Source organism: Homo sapiens, chromosome 3 (genome assembly GCF_000001405.40).
Source record: "Homo sapiens chromosome 3, GRCh38.p14 Primary Assembly".
NCBI lineage: Eukaryota > Metazoa > Chordata > Mammalia > Primates > Hominidae > Homo > Homo sapiens.
Genome location: NC_000003.12, coordinates 12,956,300 through 12,974,187, shown reverse-complemented (window position 1 = coordinate 12,974,187; position 17,888 = coordinate 12,956,300). Strand labels below are relative to the sequence as shown.

Sequence of the window (17,888 nt, the reverse complement as noted above, 5' to 3'; positions counted from 1 at the left end):
CCAGGCTCCTCAGAGCCCTGGCAGAGCCACCTGTACCCGTGCTGGGTTTCATTTCTCCTTGCGGGGGACACTGTGGCCTAGCTGCAGTGGTTCTTTATTGCAGCCCTTCCCTCAGGGTCTTTCCCATGCATCCTCAGCAGGTGAGTCCGTTTGTCAACTAATGGCACCATAACAGCTGCGTCTAATTTTTATTCATCTAAAGACCACAAGAAAACAGAGCCTCCTGACACCTCAAACCACGACGGGTCTTAGGTTTTAGCAGTGCAGAAGGAGCTGGGGAAAGGAAGCCAGATAACCAGTTCTTGGATGTGTCCCCACATGATCTGGGGAAGTGCTCCCTGCTTCTGTGAGCCTCAGCTGCCTCATCTGAACAATGGGTGGGCAGCACTGGGTCTTGGTGGCTCCATCAGACTTTAACATTAAAGCCACTTTGTTTATTTAATTTTTAATTTTTGTGGGTACACAGTAGGTGTATATATTTGTGGGTCACATGAGATATTTTGATATAGGCATGCAATGCCTAATAATCACATCAGGGTAAATGGGGTAAGGCTGCTTTAATCTTACTGTCATGGTTGGGTCTTGGCCAACCCAAGTACCATTGTAGTTGGGATGAATTTCCCTAGGGCTGTGGTAGCTGTCTGGAACCAGGCCAGTTACACAGGACAATGGCAGTGTCTGGGCCCCACCACCAGGAAGGTGCATGGAGCGCAATGTTCCCTACCGTCGAGGTGCCCACAGTCTTAAGTAAGGGGTTCTTGCTCTGCCTGGGGGTAGAGGGATTAGGGGAGGCCTCAAAGAGAAGGGGACATTTGAGCTGGGCTTTGAAGGTTGAATAAGAGATTGCCAATCAAATGAAGCAACAACCCAGGACGTGGAAACAGGATAAGCAAAGGCACTGGGGCTGGGAAGTGCAGGGTGCATTCTGGGAGTGGCTGCGTTGCAGGGATCATAGCTGGGAATGAGGCTGAAAAGACAGGCAGGAGCTGGATTACAATGCAGGTGTGGTGCCTGAGCAGTTCAGTGTCACGTAGGAAACCCGGGCCAGAAGCCTAGGTCAGGGTGGACAACCCTATACCACCTCCAGCAATCCCTAGTTCATTCCGTTTACTTTGTTTAGTAAGATATGGCACGTCCCAAATTCACAAGTGGTTTCTGTGGAAAATGGTTGGAATTTTAAAGATAATTTGGCACTTGGTAAGAACAGCTTTATTTATCTGGAAACATTTCTGTTCTGGGGGATGGGCTGGCTTCCCTGAGGTGCCACTCTATAGAGTGCTGTGTTCCATGCAGCTGTCTCTGGCTTTTTACTGCATCTAACAGTCTTAGGAATAGGTTCTATTCCATATTTGGATGAGAATGATGGTCTTAAAACACACCCGCCCAGGCTGGATGCTGTATTGTCCAGGCTGGGTGCTGTATTGTGGTGGCCAGTGTGGCATGAAGCCTCGGGTCAGTGTCAGTGTTTATAGTTCTGGGGCACATCCCTCCACCTCTCTGGACCTCAGTTTCCCTGTCTGTAAAATGAGGATTTGGGGCTAAGTGGCAGCCGCAGAGCTCCCTCGCAGACCCAGCATTCTGGCTGTGATGGGGGAATGCTCATTTCGTAAGATGAATGGTAACATAGTGGTGGTTAACAGACACTGAGCAGAAGCTCAAAATGTGCTACACCACCAGTCTTATCGATTTTTGTGGTTGTCAGTAAGACACAACCTGCTTGAAAGACGAGGAACCTGGAGTGGCCCAAGAGGTGGCTTAAGTACCATCAAGCGTTTGGGGTCTTTGTGGACTAGTTCTGGTGGGCTTCAGAGCCTCCTAGAAGATGTCAGAAGACCTTCAGTCCCTTGATTTCTTCATTTCACTGGCTTTTTTTTTTGTGACAGGATCTCAGTCTGTCATCCAGGCAGGAGTGCAGTGGCACAATAACAGCTCACCACAGCCTTGACCTTCCTACACTCGGGTGATCCTCCCACCTCAGCCTCCTGAGTAGCTGCGACTACAGGCACATGCCATCATGCCTAGCTACTTTTTCTGTTTTTTTGTAGAGATGGGATTTTGACATGTTGCCCAGGCTTCACTGGCACATTAAAAAAAAAAAAAAATTGCATTGGTTCCAGTCCAATCCATAACTGGCCTTTTGTTTTTGTTTGTTTGTTTGTTTGTTTGTTTGTTTTGAGATGGAGTCTCACCCTGTTGCCAGGGCTGGAGTGCAGTGGCACGATCTCGGCTCCTCTGCCTCCTGCGTTCAAGTGATTCTCCTGCCTCAGCCTCCTGAGTAGCTGGGATTACAGGCACCCACCACCACGCCCAGCTAATTTTTGTATTTTTAGTAGAGATGGGGTTTCGCCATGTTGGCCAGGCTGGTCTCGAACTCCTGACTTTGGGTGAGCCACCACACCTGGCCCATAACTGGGTTTTTAAAAAGTAACAAACACTTGTTTAAAAAATTTTTTTTGGTGTTGGAGGAGGGTACAGAGTCTCGCTCTGTCTCCCAGGCTGGAGTGCAATGGCACTCTTGGGTCTCTTTTAAGAAGTAATCTATGATTATACAATCTTATATAAGCATACTAGTGTTCTGTAGATTCTTTTATAAATACACTTCACATTTTTCTGGACTTTCTATCACAATGTTGTGTCTCAGATCTTTTCCTATAAGTATGCAAGATGCTGCTGCCATCTTTTTAACATGGGACTCCATTGATGGGTGTAATACAATTTACTTAACCAGTCTGCATTGAGAGGCATTGCACGTTTCCTCCCGAGTTCTGCTTTTTCAAATAATTAATATCCTTGGGCATGCCTCTATGTGCACATGGGCAGGCGGCGCTGTAGGATTCGTTCCCAACAGTGCATCCCATCTTGTGGCCATCTCATCTGAGGATCATCTGGCCCAGCCCTATCATTTCAGTCACTGTCTTCCCCCATGTTTGGATTCTGCTCTTGCATGGGGTGTCTGGCTGAACACGCAGGGGGTTTGCCAGGGTAGTTGGAGCCAATGTAAGACTGCCTCAGGAGAGCTTCATTTATTTCAGAGAAGGGCTGCATGTGCGCATTAATATTGTATGTTTTGCAGGTCATGTGTCTGTTGTAACTGTTTAACTTCATCATCATAGCATGGAAGAAGCCATTGACAATACATAAGTGGATGAGCGTGGCTCTGTTCCAATAAACCTTTATTTTAAAAAAACAGGCAGCAGGCTGGACTTGGCTCTCAGGCCATAGTTTACCAACCTTTGGCGTATTCAGCTGTCGAAGACCTTCTGTGCACCAGGCTCCACTGTCGGCACAGGGGCTGCTGCAGGGAAGGACATAGAACCAGCCCTGGCAGTTGGAATACAGCTCACTGGTATAAGCAAGCAGGTGCAGAGTAACCTGATGCCATGTAAAAGGAGTTTCTGACTTGGACTAGGCGCTGGTCATGGGTGTCTTTCTGGGAGCAGTGACATAGGAAGCTGAAAACCAAGGTCCTAGCTGTGAGCCAGGCACAGTGGGGAGTGTGGGGAACTGAAAGAAGCTTAGTGTTGCTGGAGGTGTGGCAGGCATAGAGTGGGCAGGAGGAGAGGTAAGGGATGGAGAGATGAACCAGGCCACGAGGCTGGCTGTGCAGGGAGGCTGGGCTTGATCCTGACAGCTTGGAGAGAGGGGCTGCAAAGGCTGGGCTTTGGGAGAGTGCCACACATCTGGCTGGAGGAAAGCAGGGAGGCTGTGGAAAGACTGGAGGCTATCAGAAGCTGGGGAGGATAGAGATAAAGTCGGGTTGTAGCATGTGAAATGGGCCAAGGCAAGCAGCTCAGGACTAAAACATGGGGTGATACAGTGGAACTAAACGTCTCCATGACTTTTTACATCCTGTGACCCCATACATGGGGCCCTCCTCATCCCTCAAGGTCCAACCCAAAATGTCCCCCCATTAGAGCCTCTCCTGGGGCAGAATTACAAGCTCTTTCCTCCACTGTCACGACACCATACTGGGGAATACTTGTCACAGCAGTGTTTCCCCACTGAGGCCTCAGAGTAAGTACTAATTAATGCTTGCTAAATTAAATTAAACAGCAAGGTGAATTAGCTGGGGTAGAGGTGGCTGCTAAGCCACTCTTTACAGTTGCAGAAACTGAGACTCAGAAAACTAAGCAATTTGCCTGAATGGTGCATGCAAGGATTCTGACCAGTCTGGTCATTTCTGCAGAAAAATTGGCCTTCTCTGCCTCTCTAGGCTGGAACTTTTCTTGCTTCTGCTCACAGTTCCCTAAATTATTAATCTGCAAGGCAGTTAGCGGAGCAGGAGCAAGAGGCACACTTTGCAGAAAGATAAAACAAGAGAATCAAGATGCATTTGGTTTCCAGAGTGTCCATCATCTGGTATTCCAAATGCTAACAGCGAAATTCAATCCCCTTCTAAATCCCAGCCGAGACAATGTCGCCAAGACCATCCTGCTGGGCGGCAGGGCCCTGGGCCTGGAGAAGTGCCTGAAATTCTTGGACAATCCGGATGGTGAGGCTGTCAAAGACCGTGCCCAGAGTGCTCCAGCAGCTGGGCTGGGGGAATTATTTTGGCTCCATTTATTGCAGTCTATTTTTAGAGAGCACTTCAGACAGGGGTGGGAGTTTTCTGCTGCCTCTGCCATCAACTGGGTCATGTGTACCCTATCCTCTCCCAGCTTCCTACCCCTACCCTAACCATGACAGATGCCAGATGTGGCTGTGGTCTTTGAGCAGTGCAGCCTAGTGTTCTTCTCCTTCCAGAACCCTCTATGTATAGGTACTTTTGTCCATCTTTTTTATTATGGCCTTCCTTGTGAGTGTGAGGTGGTATTGCGGTCTTGATTTACAGTTCCCTAAAGATTAGTGAGGTTGAGAGCATCTTTTCATGGGCTTATTGGCCACTTGTAGATTGTCTTTGGAGAAAAATCTACTCAGATACCTTGCCTGTTTTTAAATTGGGTTATTTGCCTTATTATTTTTGAATTGTGAGCGTTCTTTATGTACTATGGACACTAGACCCTTACTAGATACATGATTTGCAAATATTTCCCCCCATTCTGTGTCTTCATTTATTTTTAACAGAGCAAAGAAAACATGGGAAGCTGAGAAGAGGAATGTGGAGATGGGCAGTGAAGGGGCACTGGGTTCCTGCTCAGCCTCTTGCCTCGGAACCCAGGTGCTCTAAACTGGCATAAGGGGCACTGGGCTCCTGCTCAGCTTCTTGCCTGGGAACCCAGGTGCTCTAAACTGGCTTTAGGGGCTGCCCTCCTCTGCTGCAAGCTGGGCCACCTCAGCCCCCTTCCTTCACTGTCCCCCTCCAAATGAAAGATTCAGAAGGGCACAAGACAATGCCCCTGCCTTGATGGCTTCTTGCAGCTTCCTGACTCCCGTAGGCCTGCCAGCTGCCTGGCCCTCCAGGAGATGGACTTGTAGGTGGGTGGCCCAGGACAGGTGGGGTTTTGATTGTTCCATATCTGCTTGCTGTCTCCCAACCACGTCTAGGCATTCCACAGGTGTGGGCGCTGGGCACTGTATCTGCCTTCATGGAGCCCAAGGACAGATAATAAACAAGTAAACATACAAATGGAGGACTGCAAGCCATGAGCGCTCATAGTAGGAAGAGCCTGGGAGAGGAGGAAAGAGTGAGGGAAGCCGTCTCTTAGTTGGCCCAGTTAAGCTGAGCCTCAGTTTACTCATTGGTAAAATGAGGCCAGGGGTAACTCCACCTACTTCACAATGTTGCCTTGAAGGCCAACTATCACTAAAGAACTCTAAAGTGCTAATTAGTATTACTTTAAGCTTGTCATAGGTGCTTGAAGGGTGTCTCTGGGTGGAGAAAGGGTAGGGGGCTGGGTGGGCTTAGGGAGAAAGAAGCAACTTTCCATTAGATCTTCCCCCAAAAAGCCGCCAAAAGGGTGGTACCAACCTCAGGATAGGGCCCATTCCCTTCTCTGGGGCGCATCAGAGCCCCAGAACCACACGGTTCGGTCCAGGCAGGCAAAGGCCAGGTTTTATAAACTGAAGGCAAAATCGGGATAGGCAGATGTTGAGTAGGCATCAGCGGAGTAGGCTCTGGTTGGGGGTTTGGCGCTGTGCATTTGTTGTGGTTACACGCTGGAGAGGAAGACATGGCTCCCGGGAGGCGCCAGTGTTGGAGGGGCTGCGCAAAGTCCTCCTTCCAGAACAGAGGCTTCGCGCGCTGGGACCTGGATGCAGTGTCTGGGACTCCGCCCTTGCGCTCTGCACCCCGCGCCTCGGCTCGGCCCCGCCCCTGCGCGTAGCCCCGCCCCTGACGCCCCGCCCCTGACCCCCCGCCCCCTGTGCTTCTTCCGCGGCGCCGTGTGGCCACGCCTCCTGTGCTCTCTTCCCCACACGCTCCGTGCAGTCTCGCCCCCGCGCGCAGCCCCGCCCCCAGCTCGCCCTCCGGCCCCGCCCCCAGCTCGCCCTCCGGCCCCGCCCCCGCCCTGCCCCGCCCACTTCAGGGCCACATTCCTCCGGCCCGGCCTCGCGCTGCGCCAAGCGGGCGGCGGCGGAGGGGCGGGCTTGGCTGGCCTGGGGCTCGGACTTGGGGCCGGAGCCGCGGGAGCCGGCGGACGCTGGACCAGGAGCCCCGACGTGATCGCGTGGCGGGTGGTCGGGTCTCCGGGTGGCCGGGTGTCGGCCCCGGGATCCGGCGGCTCGCTGGCGGGAGTCGGCGGCCTCTGCTGGGCCTGGGTCCCGGCTCCCGGCCCGGCCCGCTCCCACTGCGGCCGCCATGTGGTGCCTGCACTGCAACTCGGAGAGGACCCAGTCCCTTCTGGAGCTAGAGCTTGACAGCGGGTGAGGGCGCGGCGCGGGGCGAGCGGCCTTCCCGGGTGCTGAGCGGTGGGCTGGCGCAGGCTGTGGGGATGCCTGTGCGGGAGTGCGGGTGACCGTCGGGACCGGGCGCCCGGCGTGCGAGAGAAAGCTGCCTGCGGGGCGGGGTGCGTCCGCCAGACTGTGGGTTTGGGTGAGAGAAGAGCAAACAGGACCCGAGTTTGTGCGTGGGAGAGAGAGACGCGCCCTTGGGACAGGAGCGCTGTGTGTGCCCTGGGAGGGTCTCAGGATGGGAGTGTGTGTGTGTGATCGAGGGCCTGTTGGAGTGCAAGTTGGTGTGGGGGTGAGTTTGAGTTTGGGGGCTTGAGAGGGAAACAGTGGGACTCGGTGTGGGTGTGAGGTGAGGGGCAGGAGGGAGAGCGGAGAGTTGGTGGGAGGGTGCCCAGCGGGTCTGTGCCTGTTTCCAACTGCAGGCAGGGCCGGAGCTGCCAGGAAGGCCTCTTGCAGGCCTGTCTATTCCAGACATTGGGCCTATGTCTGGATTGATGTGTCTGTCCTGTCTGCAAGACCCCAAGTGTGTGTGAGGGTGGATGACCCTGAACAAACAGGCGTCCCAGGTGTGTCAGCAGCTTCTGTCGGGTACTCTGCCCCTGGCAGGGCCACTTGGGGGTGCACTGGGGTGTGTGGCTGCTGTTTGTGGCAGAGTGTGGATGTGAGGGGCTTTGTGTGGTGATGCGTGTGCACCTGGTGTGGTCAGGGATGGAGTCTGGTGTGTCAGAGGGGCCAACCCTTTTCTACTTAGGGGCCTGTGGGCGGCTGTCTGAGCTTCCAAGGGCCCGTGTTTATGGAGAGAAAGGGAGAAAGGGAGTGTGTGTGTATGTGCTGGGAATATTGATTTCCTCTCTGCGATGGCCAGCACAGCTGCCCCCTGAGCTATCTGCAGGCCCTTCTGAGGAGCAGGGGGGTGGGGCTAAGGGGATTTGTTGACAAGCTGACTTGGCTTATGTCAGGCCCCCTCTGGAGGAAGCCCACCTGGAGCTGTTTGATCTTTCAGTTCAAAAATTGTGCAGCGCATGTCCAGCAGTTGCACTGAGAACATGCATATGTCTCCCTCTGCCCCTTCCTCACCCCAGAGGCCTGGAGCGCTGAGCCTGAGCCTCCAAGTGGGGTTGGGGGGCTTCTCAAGGACCCCATTGCTCCTTGCATCTGGGGTGGAGGCCAGGCATGCTGCAGCTGCAAGACCATCTGTCTGGAATCAGTGGCAGCAGTCTGGACATGGGGGTCATGTTATTCATATCCCACACACACCCGCGGCCCTCATAGTCCATCAGCTGTCCCACCTGGTATTACAATTGCTTCTTACCCTTGTGGTACCAGCATCCTCATATTGCAGGAGAGCAAATCGAGGCTGAGCATTCAGTCTTGTCAGTACTAAAGCTCTGTGGTTTATTGAGTGCCTGCTATGTACCAGTCCCTGCTCTAGGCACCAGAGACACAGCAGTGAACAAAACATGGAGTCTTTGTCCTCATGGAACCAGCAGTCTAGTGGGGAACAAGAAACCATTAGCGTGCTCTCCTGGCTGCACCTCCCGCCTCCCTCTGAGCTGAAAGTAACTGGGGAGGGGTTTCTGCCCCTCCATTAGGACCATTCCAGTTGACATGTCCAGGCCACCTCTCTTGCATACTTCTCAGTCCCACATCCCTTCTCATTAGAAGTCCCTCCGGGCATCTCATCTCAATCTTCCAGCTTCAGGGAAGCCTGCTTGGATCCTTCTGTGGTCTGGGTTGGTGATGAACAGCTGCTCCCCCAGTCTCAGAACATGAGGCAGAGGTCTTGGAGGTTGAGAAGCCTCGCTCAGGTGTAGCCCATAGTTCACGCATCAGCCTCAGAGCAGGTGGATCCCATTTGCTCTGGAGCACCTGGTATGTGGTTCCATGGGAAGCTTGGGGGAGGGGTAGAGGAAATCAACCCAGTCCTTGGCCTGTGGAGGCAGAGCTAGATGCTCCTTGGGCTGGCTCCCAGGGGCCAGAGCCCTTTAAGCTGGCCGTCTCCCCCTCTCTAAACCCGGATGGGATGCAGCACGGTCCAGAAACCTCAGGGGACCCCCCTTAGTCTGTAACGGGCCCAAGATAACCACTCCCAAGTCCAGCCATGCCACCATGCACCACTCTACAAATAACAGGCTTCTTTCCAAGAGCGTGTGTGGCACTTTGCTGTTTGAGCCTTGTGAAACACAGGACTCTTCTTATCCTCGTTTTTTTAAGGGTACACACACTAAGAGAACCCAGAGACTGGGCCAGAATATCACATGGGGAGCCTACAGGAGAACCCCAATGTTGTGATGGAGGCCTCTGGAGGCCCTGGCTAGCCCTGCTAGGATTTTCAGGCTTTCACTCAAGGAAGTCGGACTATGAACTGGTTGCGCTAATATTTACACAGCTTCAGTTCAAAAACATGGACAGGACTGACAGCTGCATAGTCAAACAGTGTGACAACTGGGCAAATAGATGTTTCTGGACAGTATTGGACAGGGTACCCAGGGCTGCAGGAGCTCAGTATATGTGTGTGTGCATGTGTGTGCATCTGTGTGTGCATACGGTTTTATCTGTCTGGACTCTGCATACTGTGGAATCTTGGTTTACCAGGATAATCTGGAATCCAGGGCAGCTTGAGACTTAAGGAAAGAAGGGCCTGGGGAGGCAAACAGATTTTGTTTCAAGTCCCAGCTCAGTTTCGTGAGTGTATGCAAGTTACCACACCCCTCCAAGCCTGTTTCCCCTTCTGTGAAAGGGAATGATAACACTGCTTCATGGAGTGCTCTGAGAATGTGGATGTCTGAAGGCCACTGCACAGCTGGCCATCCTCGGGACTCCAGTCAAATGCCATGTTTGTCCAGGTCAGCACTCTGCTCTTCCCAGGCACCAATGACCCGCTGGATTTTCTTGCTTCCTGTTTTGTAAATTTCCTTTGAATTATGATGACATGTGGAATATCCGCCCAGTAAGCACAGGGGCAAGATGATGCACAGCCCAGATGGGCTCAAACACCACCGGAGGCCTTGGGAGAGATCTCCCATGGAAGCATGTGTGTGTGTGTGTGTGTGTGTGTGTAGGGGGAGTATGCTCAAATGCTGTTGAATGTGATTTATTGTTTGTCCTCAAAAGCAAATTGTAATGAGTTTAGAGGCCATTAAGGCTCTTGAAGAATTAATTGGCATGGCCTTAGAGAATCTGGCTGCTCCCACTGCATGAGCTGCTGCAGAGAGGAAATTGATGGCATTTATGGTTGAAGTATGGCATGATGCCACCTGGACCTGCCACTATCCTGGCTGCCATGGCTGTACCCTGAATTGGGCAAGTGTCCCTCCAAGTCCTGGCCCTGTGGCTAGTACCCCGATGCCTGCCTAGCATAGCGCCTGGCCTCATGGCGGACATAGCCAGTTGTCAGTGAATGAAAGCATCCATAAATGCAGGTGTTAACAAGTGCACACATGCTGTCTTGGGCTTGGAGGAGTGCGTTGTTCTCTGGAGAGATGTGTATGACCCAGGGGACACGCAGCTTTTCACTTTCCTGTGTTCCTTTATGCACACAACAAACATTTACTGAGCACCAACTTTGTACCAGGCCCTGGGCTAGATGTAGAAGCACTGAGGTTAGTAGTGTGAAATGGTACATCACAGAGCACAGGACTTGGGGATCACACAAAACCCTGACTCCACCTCTTCCTGGCTGTGTGGCCTCAGATATGTTGCCTTCCATCTCTGAGTCTTGATTTTCTCATCCATGAAATGGAGCCAAAAGAAACCCCTGGGGAGGGGGTGGGGGATGTGCAGCTTTGCCTGGTGACCAAAGCATACAGATAGATCCCCAACAAATGGTAGCTGTTATCACCATCATCATTATTACCACCTTTTCCCGTTTGTGAAATTGTTGCTGAGTTAAAATGATTCCTCACAGTTTTCTTTTTTGCTCGTTTGTGAGGTTGAAGACTGATTTCTAGAGCCTGTGTGGCTTTTTGTGAAATCTTCCTTCTTGGGGTCCCAGCTGCTCTGACTTGAATTTCTTTTTTGCCTTGTTCATAGGTACCTGCAGCTTCGCTGCTCCTTGGAGGAAATGCCCATTCTTTCCGTTTTATCTCCTCGGTTTGCAGTTTCCTGACATGGTGACAGTTTGATTTGAACTTAAGGTCCCGATGGAGAACCATAGCAAGCGTCCCCTCCCTGTTTCTAAAGATGAGACACTGTGACTGCATTTGTTTTTTCCTCTTTGTTCAAAGCTCAGTAGTAATAGTAATAGCAACAGTTGCCATTTAGTGCTAAAGTTGCTAGAGTGCTAGAGTTAGCGTTTGAACTCCGCCTGCCTGGCTTCAGGGTCTGTGTACTTCATGGCCAGGCTCTGCTTCCTCTGGGATTAAATAATCTTTGGCAAAATATGTCACCACCATGAATGGAGCCTTTTGCTTCTTCCCTATACTGCCACAACAGATGTCTGGTATCCCCAGGTATCAGGATTCCCAACATGTTCTCAGAAGTCTCAGCCCACAAGCTGGTTGATGACCACTCACCGGGCCTTCCTGGCATCTTGTCTCTTTCCCCACAGAACCCAAGAGCTGCATCCCCAGACTCTCCGGCAGGATTCTGGGACAGTGTCCTTTGCACTTGCAGGCTCTTGAGGGTAGCATGCTTGTGTGCTGTGCGCAGCCCCAGGCCAAGACTCTGCTTGGAGCAGGGTCCTGAGGACTAAAACTGACTGTCCCCTAACTCACTGAGGGACCCATGCGAACATGACAGGCTTCTGCATGGTGAGGAAACCCAAGGCTAGGGCTTTTGAATCACTAGAGGACACACAGGTGTGTGGGTGCTGAACTGGATCCCATGGGAGGGGAGAGGGATCATTAATAAACTGGAAGAATTGGAACGAGTCCCCAGCTGGGAGGAGTCCTCCTCATTCACACAAACTGGAAGGGTTCTCCCAAAATCCCCTGCTGCCCAGACCGGATCAGAGTCTGTCTGCCAACATGAATACTTTCTCCCTGATGCCATTTACAGAAGCCAGTGGTGTTTGCTTTTCTATTTCTGGCTGGGAGGGTAGGTGGTATAATCATGAGATGCATGAATACATGTAAAGCAATTAAACGGTGTCTCATAGTAACATAGCAAGGGCCCGGTAGATGTTAGTTGTGATCATTGTTGTCCTTATTCTGGCTGCCCTTAAGCTCAAAGGTCTCCCATCCTGAGAGAGGAAACCTTTCAGAAAGGCCTGTCCAGAACTGGCCCTGATTGACCGTTGGTCGTCTGCCTCCCTAGAGCCCTGGCGTCAGTCACCCATCTCATCCCATCCCTCCCTGGGCCTCAGTTTCCACATCTGTGAGAAGAAGAATGAGCCTCTTGATCCTTGTAGTCATTTGCAGATGCAGGATGTTTAGCCCAATGGTTAGGGAGGCAGATTCTGTAGTCAGACTACCTGTAACTCTAACTCCAACTCTAAAGCCAGCTCTGCTCCTCATTGTCCCTATGATCTTGGGCACCTTCCTTAGCCTTTCTGTGCCTCAGTTTCCCCATTGGTAAAAGATGGATGACAGGAGGAGGCCATGGAGTTGTTGTGAGGATTAAATGAATGAATCCATGTGAGTGCTTCAACAGTGCATAGTCAGCACCAGAAACATGGCATCCTTTAGCTGATGTTTTAGGCCCGAGAAGTTTGACTGTGTGGAACTGGACCGTATTACTTGTTTGGGGAGATGTGTTCCTAGATGGGAGTGGATTGTTTATCTTTTTGGCACACAGACAGGACCAGGGTTAAAAGAGAGGGGTGCAGAGAGATAGTGGTGAGGGGAAGAAGTTAAAGGGCTAAAGGGCTGCAGGCTGTTGGTGGTATGACAGATGGCAGACACAGTAAGAAGTGACTAAGCCCATGGACTTTAGCTTGTGCTTGTAGCGTGCTGTCCAAACAGCCCACAAAGAAGTGGATGGTTAAGGGTATTAAGAAAATCGCTTTGCCTGTGGATTGGGGAAATTGCAAAGTAAGGCAGCTTGCAGTTGGGCTGGGATGAAGATTTCTTTAGATAGGAATGGGCAAATGGCCTGCACCATGTGTGAGACACCCTGAGGTGTTAGGACATCAAGGTAGAGGCCCCCAGCCCTGTGTCAGATGGAGCAGAGCTGTGGTGCGTCTGGAGCCCTCAGCTGGTGGCCTGTGCTGAGCTTCTGAGGCTTTGGGCAGGTCTGGCTTCCTGGTGGTACCTGGGGCTGCTTCTGGAGCCTAATAAGGCCCAAAGCTGCAGAGCCTGGCCTCAGGGGCAGTGGCCTTCAGTCCCTGGTTCTGCTGCTCTGTCCTCTTCAGCTGGTCTGTCTGCCTGGGAGGGGAGGCAGCTTGCTGCAGTGGGCAGAGGTGCCATCTGGAGCTGGAGAAACTTGGATCCTGTTTCTGCCCTTTCCTGGATGTGTGGCCAGGGCAAGGTGGTCCCCACTGCAAGCTGCTGCCTCCTTGCCTGTCAAATGGGAACAATGGAGGGAGAGGCAGTGTGGGTAGACACAAAACAGGTGACTATGCGTGCCGGCAGGAAGGGGAAGGGGAGTCAGCTGGGTTTGGGCAAAGCCTCAACTGTTTTTGGTGGGTCTTAAGTTGGCACAAGATTGAGACTGGGGCTAGAACAGGCTACAGAATGAAAATGATGATACTGGCATTTGGATGGCCTTTGAACTTCACACATACCTGTCTGATTGGAACCAAGAACCTTGTGAAATCACTGGCATTATTCTCATTTGACAGATGAGGAAAGAATGGCTAGAAAATGAAAATGACGAATTCAAGCTCTGCAGAATATAGACCTGGTCCTCTGGTAAATGCATGGACCCTCTTTCCCCTCCCTGGCATTGCTGGGGAGCAGCTTGTTAGAATGCAGCCTGAGGCAGAGGCAGGGAGGAGCAGGGGGCCAAGGAGGAGCCGGAGAGACAAAACCTGCAGGCCCCAGCTGTGCGCACTCCAGTGGCAGCATTGGGTTCCCTGTACAGCCACCGTGGATGGCTACAGAGGTGCACTACCATCAGCAGAGTGGAAGGAGAATCCTTGGAAGCTCTACCCAGTGCCTACAATCTCAAAAACATGTTCGCCAGCCCCAGGAAGTCATCTGGGCTAAGAACGATCCTCAGATTCCTGACAGGATCAGGACGACTGTCCACCCGAGATGATGGGAAAGAGAGGCTGGAGTAGCGCCCGGCACCTAGTAGGTGTTCAGTAAATGGCAGCTGCTGTGATGACCCCTACCCACTGCACTGCTATTCTCTCCAGCCGTCATCGTTATACCATTGCAGTGCCGCTATTTCCATGGGGTGAGGGTAGGGTGGAGAGGAAGTGTTTGGGGAAGCAGCTCTTTCCTCTGCTGCTGGGGGAGGGGGAGGTGCGGTCGCAGGAACGTGAATTCTCTGTTCCCTCTGGGCCATTGACTGTTCTCAGAGCCGTCATTTAAATGAGCAGGGTTTGAGATTTTTTGTTTGTGCTTCGTAAAAATGGCAAAATGGCCCAAGAAGATAATGGACCTTGATGTGATAGCAGAGTCTTAGCGTTATTTTTAGCTTTTTGTTATGTAAAATGTGCAACGTACAAAAGTAGAATGGTATAATGATCCCTATGTGCAGTTTTATTTCATTGCTCGAGATTAGTTTTAATCCCAGACGTTTTGTTGATTTTATATCAAGGACCTGTCTCATGGTTGGCCTCATTTCTAGCCTTGGAAAAGTCATGTCACTGGGGCGGGTGCTTGGGGCAGGCCACAGTGTCTCTTGAACAGCCCTTAGCTCTGTTGGCCCAACTCGGGAACTCTGAGCTTGAGCCAGTTTCCCAGCCTGGTGACCAAGTGGTGTCTGACCCATTTGGGATGCCCTGTGTCTGGAAGTGACTGGGAGAGGCTAGGCCCGTGACTCCTCCATCAGACAGGGCCTTCCTGGGTCAGGGTAGGAGAACTCGCTTCTCTTCCATCTGCCTAGGACCTCTGGAGGGCGGGGTGTGGAATGGGCTGTCAGCCTCTCTCATCGGATTGGGGGTCCCCTGGATGGTATTGTGGCTCTCAGCTTCAAGCTCCGCAGGGTCTCCCTGTTGCCCTGGCTTTCCCCTTGCCAGGACGTGTAGCCAGGCTGCGCCCCTGCCACCCTCCCAGGCCTGTCAGCCCCTCGTCTTGCTGGGCCCCTGGGTGGCCATTCAGCACTGGGGGTCCCTGGGCCTCTGCCCAGCCCTCTTTCCTTCTCTACTTCACACAGTCTTTTCCTTCCTGGGGTTTCTGATCTGGCTCCTGCCCAGGCCCTGACATCCTGCCACCCACCCAGCAACCCTCTCTAGGGGTCTCATGGGCACCTGCAAATCTGTAAGTTCCAAAGGACACATATTATCTCCCTCTCCCCAAATTGGCTTCTCTTCCATGACATCATCTGATCCTCTTGGGCTTCACTCAGAATACCAAAGTCATCCTAGACAGCTCCCGTCACCTTTACTCACCTTTGTCATCATCACCCGGTGCTGTGCCACCCCACAGTGCTGGGCTTAGAGCCTGGCATGTAGCAAGTGCTAACACATTTCAGCCACTGTCCTCAGTATGAGTGTGTTTGCTACCCTAGCTCCTAGCACAGTGCTTGGTACATAGAGTGCCCCCAACCCAGCTTAGTTGGCTTAGAAGCCAAAACAAGCCAAAGTCACACCCTAGGCATGGCCACATCCCAGCCAGGCACCCCTCGTGCTCCCCAGGTATGGGTGCTAGTGTGGAATCAGATGGTCTATGTTCCTTCAGACCTCTTCCTCTTTGGCCAGCTCACCTCCCTCTAGCACCCATGGCACCATGCAGTGCAGCGACGTGATAACAGTCTTAAATCGTGACAGTGGCAGCAGCTACTCTCTGCTTTTCCTGGGTGACAGGCCCCAGGCTGAGGATTTTGTGTGTGTTATTATATGGCCCTCACAGCAGCCCTGCTGGGTGGACAATACTCCCATTTTATGACTGAGAAACAGACACAGAGAGGCCAAGTCATTTGCCCAGGGCCACACAGCTCCTGCCTGCTGGGTACCAGACAGTTGCCGGGGAAGAGCTCTGTGTGCCAATGTTGTAGGTAGGGGAGGTTGAGGGGGATAGTGTTTCCTACCCCCAGCCTTCATTTGTCCCCAAGACCCTTTCTGTGCCCCTGTGCTGGGTGCTGTGGGCAGATTGCTGACTTGCTGTGGGGCCTGGCAGCTGCCGTGCTGCAGGTCTGGGCAGCACCTGCACCAGGTCCTGCAAGGGCAGGGGGAGCTCGATGGTTAGATAGGGTGGTGGGCTGGCCCCACAGAGGTAAGAACATGACAGGCAGGGAGGTGTCCCGGGGCCTCAGCCAGCCTCACCCCTCCTCACTTTCTTTGTGAGTCACGCGGCCTTGGGTAAATTACATCAACTCTCTGTGCCTTAGTTTCTTCATCCACAAAATGGGAAGATGATATAGTACCTGCTTCAAAAGGTTGCTGTTTACAACACCAAGTGTGGAGCCGAATGTAGACTGTGGACCCTGGTGATGATGATGTGTCACCGTAGTTCATGGACTGTAAAAACGTGCCACTCTAGTGTGGATGTTGATAGTGGCTGTGCCTGTGTTGGGGCAGTGGGTACATGGGAATGCCATACTTTCCTTTCAGTTTTGCTATGCACCTAAAAAAGACCAAGATTGTCTGGGCCAAGATGGCCCCACCACAGGCCCTGGCTGGCAGGGCGGGCCATGAGGAAGGCCTTCTGCGCGATGGGCATCTGTCTCCTCCTCTCTGTCCACACCCTGTCCAGAGCCAGCCTCCCCAGCCTGTGCCTCCAGCCTGGCTCTCCTGGGGTGTCCCTGGGGCCCAGCCTAGCTCTCTCTGCTGGAGCCTGCCACAGAGAACTGCTTTATTTAAGTCCATTTGGTGCGTATGGAAATAACTAGAGGCCTCTGTATTTAATTTGGCTCAGCCGGGAAGATTTTTGGCTCTGTGCGTGTGTATATTCTGAAAAATCTTTCCGAGTGAGCCCAGGGGTTGGAAGCTTCTGGTCATCTCCGTGCACTCAGAACCAACAAGAACCACCCTTCTTAGCCAGGGACAAGCGTCTGGCAGAGGGCAGGCTATAGGAATGGTTAATGAAGAAAGTAAAGGAACAAGGGGAGAAGGTGAGGCCATGCAGATGAGGTCATGGCAAGGGAAGCAGTCTTGTAAACTTTGTATCTTGAGACCAGGTAAGCTGTGGCAGAGTGGAAGGAAGGAGGCCTTTGGAAGCATAAAGCCCTCTATGCAGGCACAGAGATGGACGTATCTCGTTTCCTGATCCCTCAGGGCTTAATTTGGCGCTGGGCTGGGGAACACTTCTCCTGATGTCCCTCTTTCTGACCTGGACAAGCCCAGCCACAAGACTTGAGGAGTTAAGGGCGTTGAGCCTTTCCTCTCTGGCTGATGGCACAGAGCAGAAACAGCTCCACGTGGGATTTACAGTTGGTAAAGTGTGTCTTCCCTCGATTCCCACGCTCCCGTTGGGCAAGCGGAGCAGGAGTGACACCCGTTGTGAAGATGAGACCACAGAAGCCCAGAGAGTGGAGGGCACTTGCCTGGGGCCACTCAGCCTGGAAGTAGGGGAGCTGTAGAGAGACCTGGTCTCCCGATTGCACGTAGAGCTCCCCCCACACTCCCCAGGGACGCTTCTGGAGCCATTGGGCATTCCTCCAAACTCAGGTTGGCATTCTCACAGGTGGACAGAGGGGGCTGCCGAGGGTGGGAACAGCTTGAATTTGAACCCAAGAACATCCTCTTAGAATCCAGTTTTGGAATAAACACCAGGTATCAGATGGCTTTGAAAATTATATTCTAACCCTAGGAAACTTAGGAACGAGGGCGTCTGGTGAATTGAGGCTTGGTGGTTATGATGACCATGGGATTGTGGATTGTGGTCACTGCGACGGTATTAATTTGCTAGAGCCTTGTAAAAACCACACACTCACAGGACCCAGTGGAGCAGAAGGCCTTGGTGTTCCCACCAGCCATGCAGAGCTGTGGGAGTTCTTGAACCCTGCCTCTCGGGAATTGGTGTTCTAAATTAGGTTTCTTGGGAACAACTGGTCCCAAACTGTAGATCCTA

At 52.4% G+C, this 17,888-nt stretch overlaps 1 protein-coding gene across 32 annotated transcripts in view, besides 6 other annotated features; it reads left to right on the top strand.

The window, feature by feature from the left end:
* The window catches only part of IQSEC1 (IQ motif and Sec7 domain ArfGEF 1), a 386,215-nt gene that overhangs the window by 309,070 nt on the left and 59,257 nt on the right, over nucleotides 1-17,888 (top strand). For 5 of the 32 annotated variants that reach the window (XM_047449356.1, XM_047449343.1, XM_047449355.1 and 2 more), the window contains exon 1: nucleotides 6,458-6,801. The exons of the other annotated variants lie outside the window; for them this stretch is intronic. In XM_047449356.1, the coding sequence (XP_047305312.1) occupies nucleotides 6,737-6,801 (65 nt within the window). In that variant the 5' untranslated portion in view covers nucleotides 6,458-6,736. Of the gene's footprint in view, nucleotides 1-6,457; nucleotides 6,802-17,888 lie in introns of those variants that run through there. 32 annotated transcript variants of the gene reach the window in all.
* Nucleotides 5,925-6,004: an enhancer, noted in NCBI's record as "active region_19462". NCBI's record gives its function as "activates an Ori minimal core promoter by ATAC-STARR-seq in GM12878 lymphoblastoid cells {active_cell/tissue: GM12878}" and the evidence as "EXISTENCE:reporter gene assay evidence [ECO:0000049][PMID:35858748]".
* Nucleotides 6,155-6,574: a silencer, noted in NCBI's record as "silent region_14075". NCBI's record gives its function as "represses an Ori minimal core promoter by ATAC-STARR-seq in GM12878 lymphoblastoid cells {active_cell/tissue: GM12878}" and the evidence as "EXISTENCE:reporter gene assay evidence [ECO:0000049][PMID:35858748]".
* Nucleotides 6,685-6,734: a silencer, noted in NCBI's record as "silent region_14074". NCBI's record gives its function as "represses an Ori minimal core promoter by ATAC-STARR-seq in GM12878 lymphoblastoid cells {active_cell/tissue: GM12878}" and the evidence as "EXISTENCE:reporter gene assay evidence [ECO:0000049][PMID:35858748]".
* Nucleotides 13,858-13,937: an enhancer, noted in NCBI's record as "active region_19461". NCBI's record gives its function as "activates an Ori minimal core promoter by ATAC-STARR-seq in GM12878 lymphoblastoid cells {active_cell/tissue: GM12878}" and the evidence as "EXISTENCE:reporter gene assay evidence [ECO:0000049][PMID:35858748]".
* Nucleotides 14,058-14,107: an enhancer, noted in NCBI's record as "active region_19460". NCBI's record gives its function as "activates an Ori minimal core promoter by ATAC-STARR-seq in GM12878 lymphoblastoid cells {active_cell/tissue: GM12878}" and the evidence as "EXISTENCE:reporter gene assay evidence [ECO:0000049][PMID:35858748]".
* Nucleotides 15,485-15,985: an enhancer, noted in NCBI's record as "H3K4me1 hESC enhancer chr3:12999703-13000203 (GRCh37/hg19 assembly coordinates)". NCBI's record gives its function as "activates a minimal SCP1, AML or CMV promoter by ChIP-STARR-seq in primed H9 embryonic stem cells {active_cell/tissue: H9 hESC(primed)}" and the evidence as "EXISTENCE:reporter gene assay evidence [ECO:0000049][PMID:30033119]".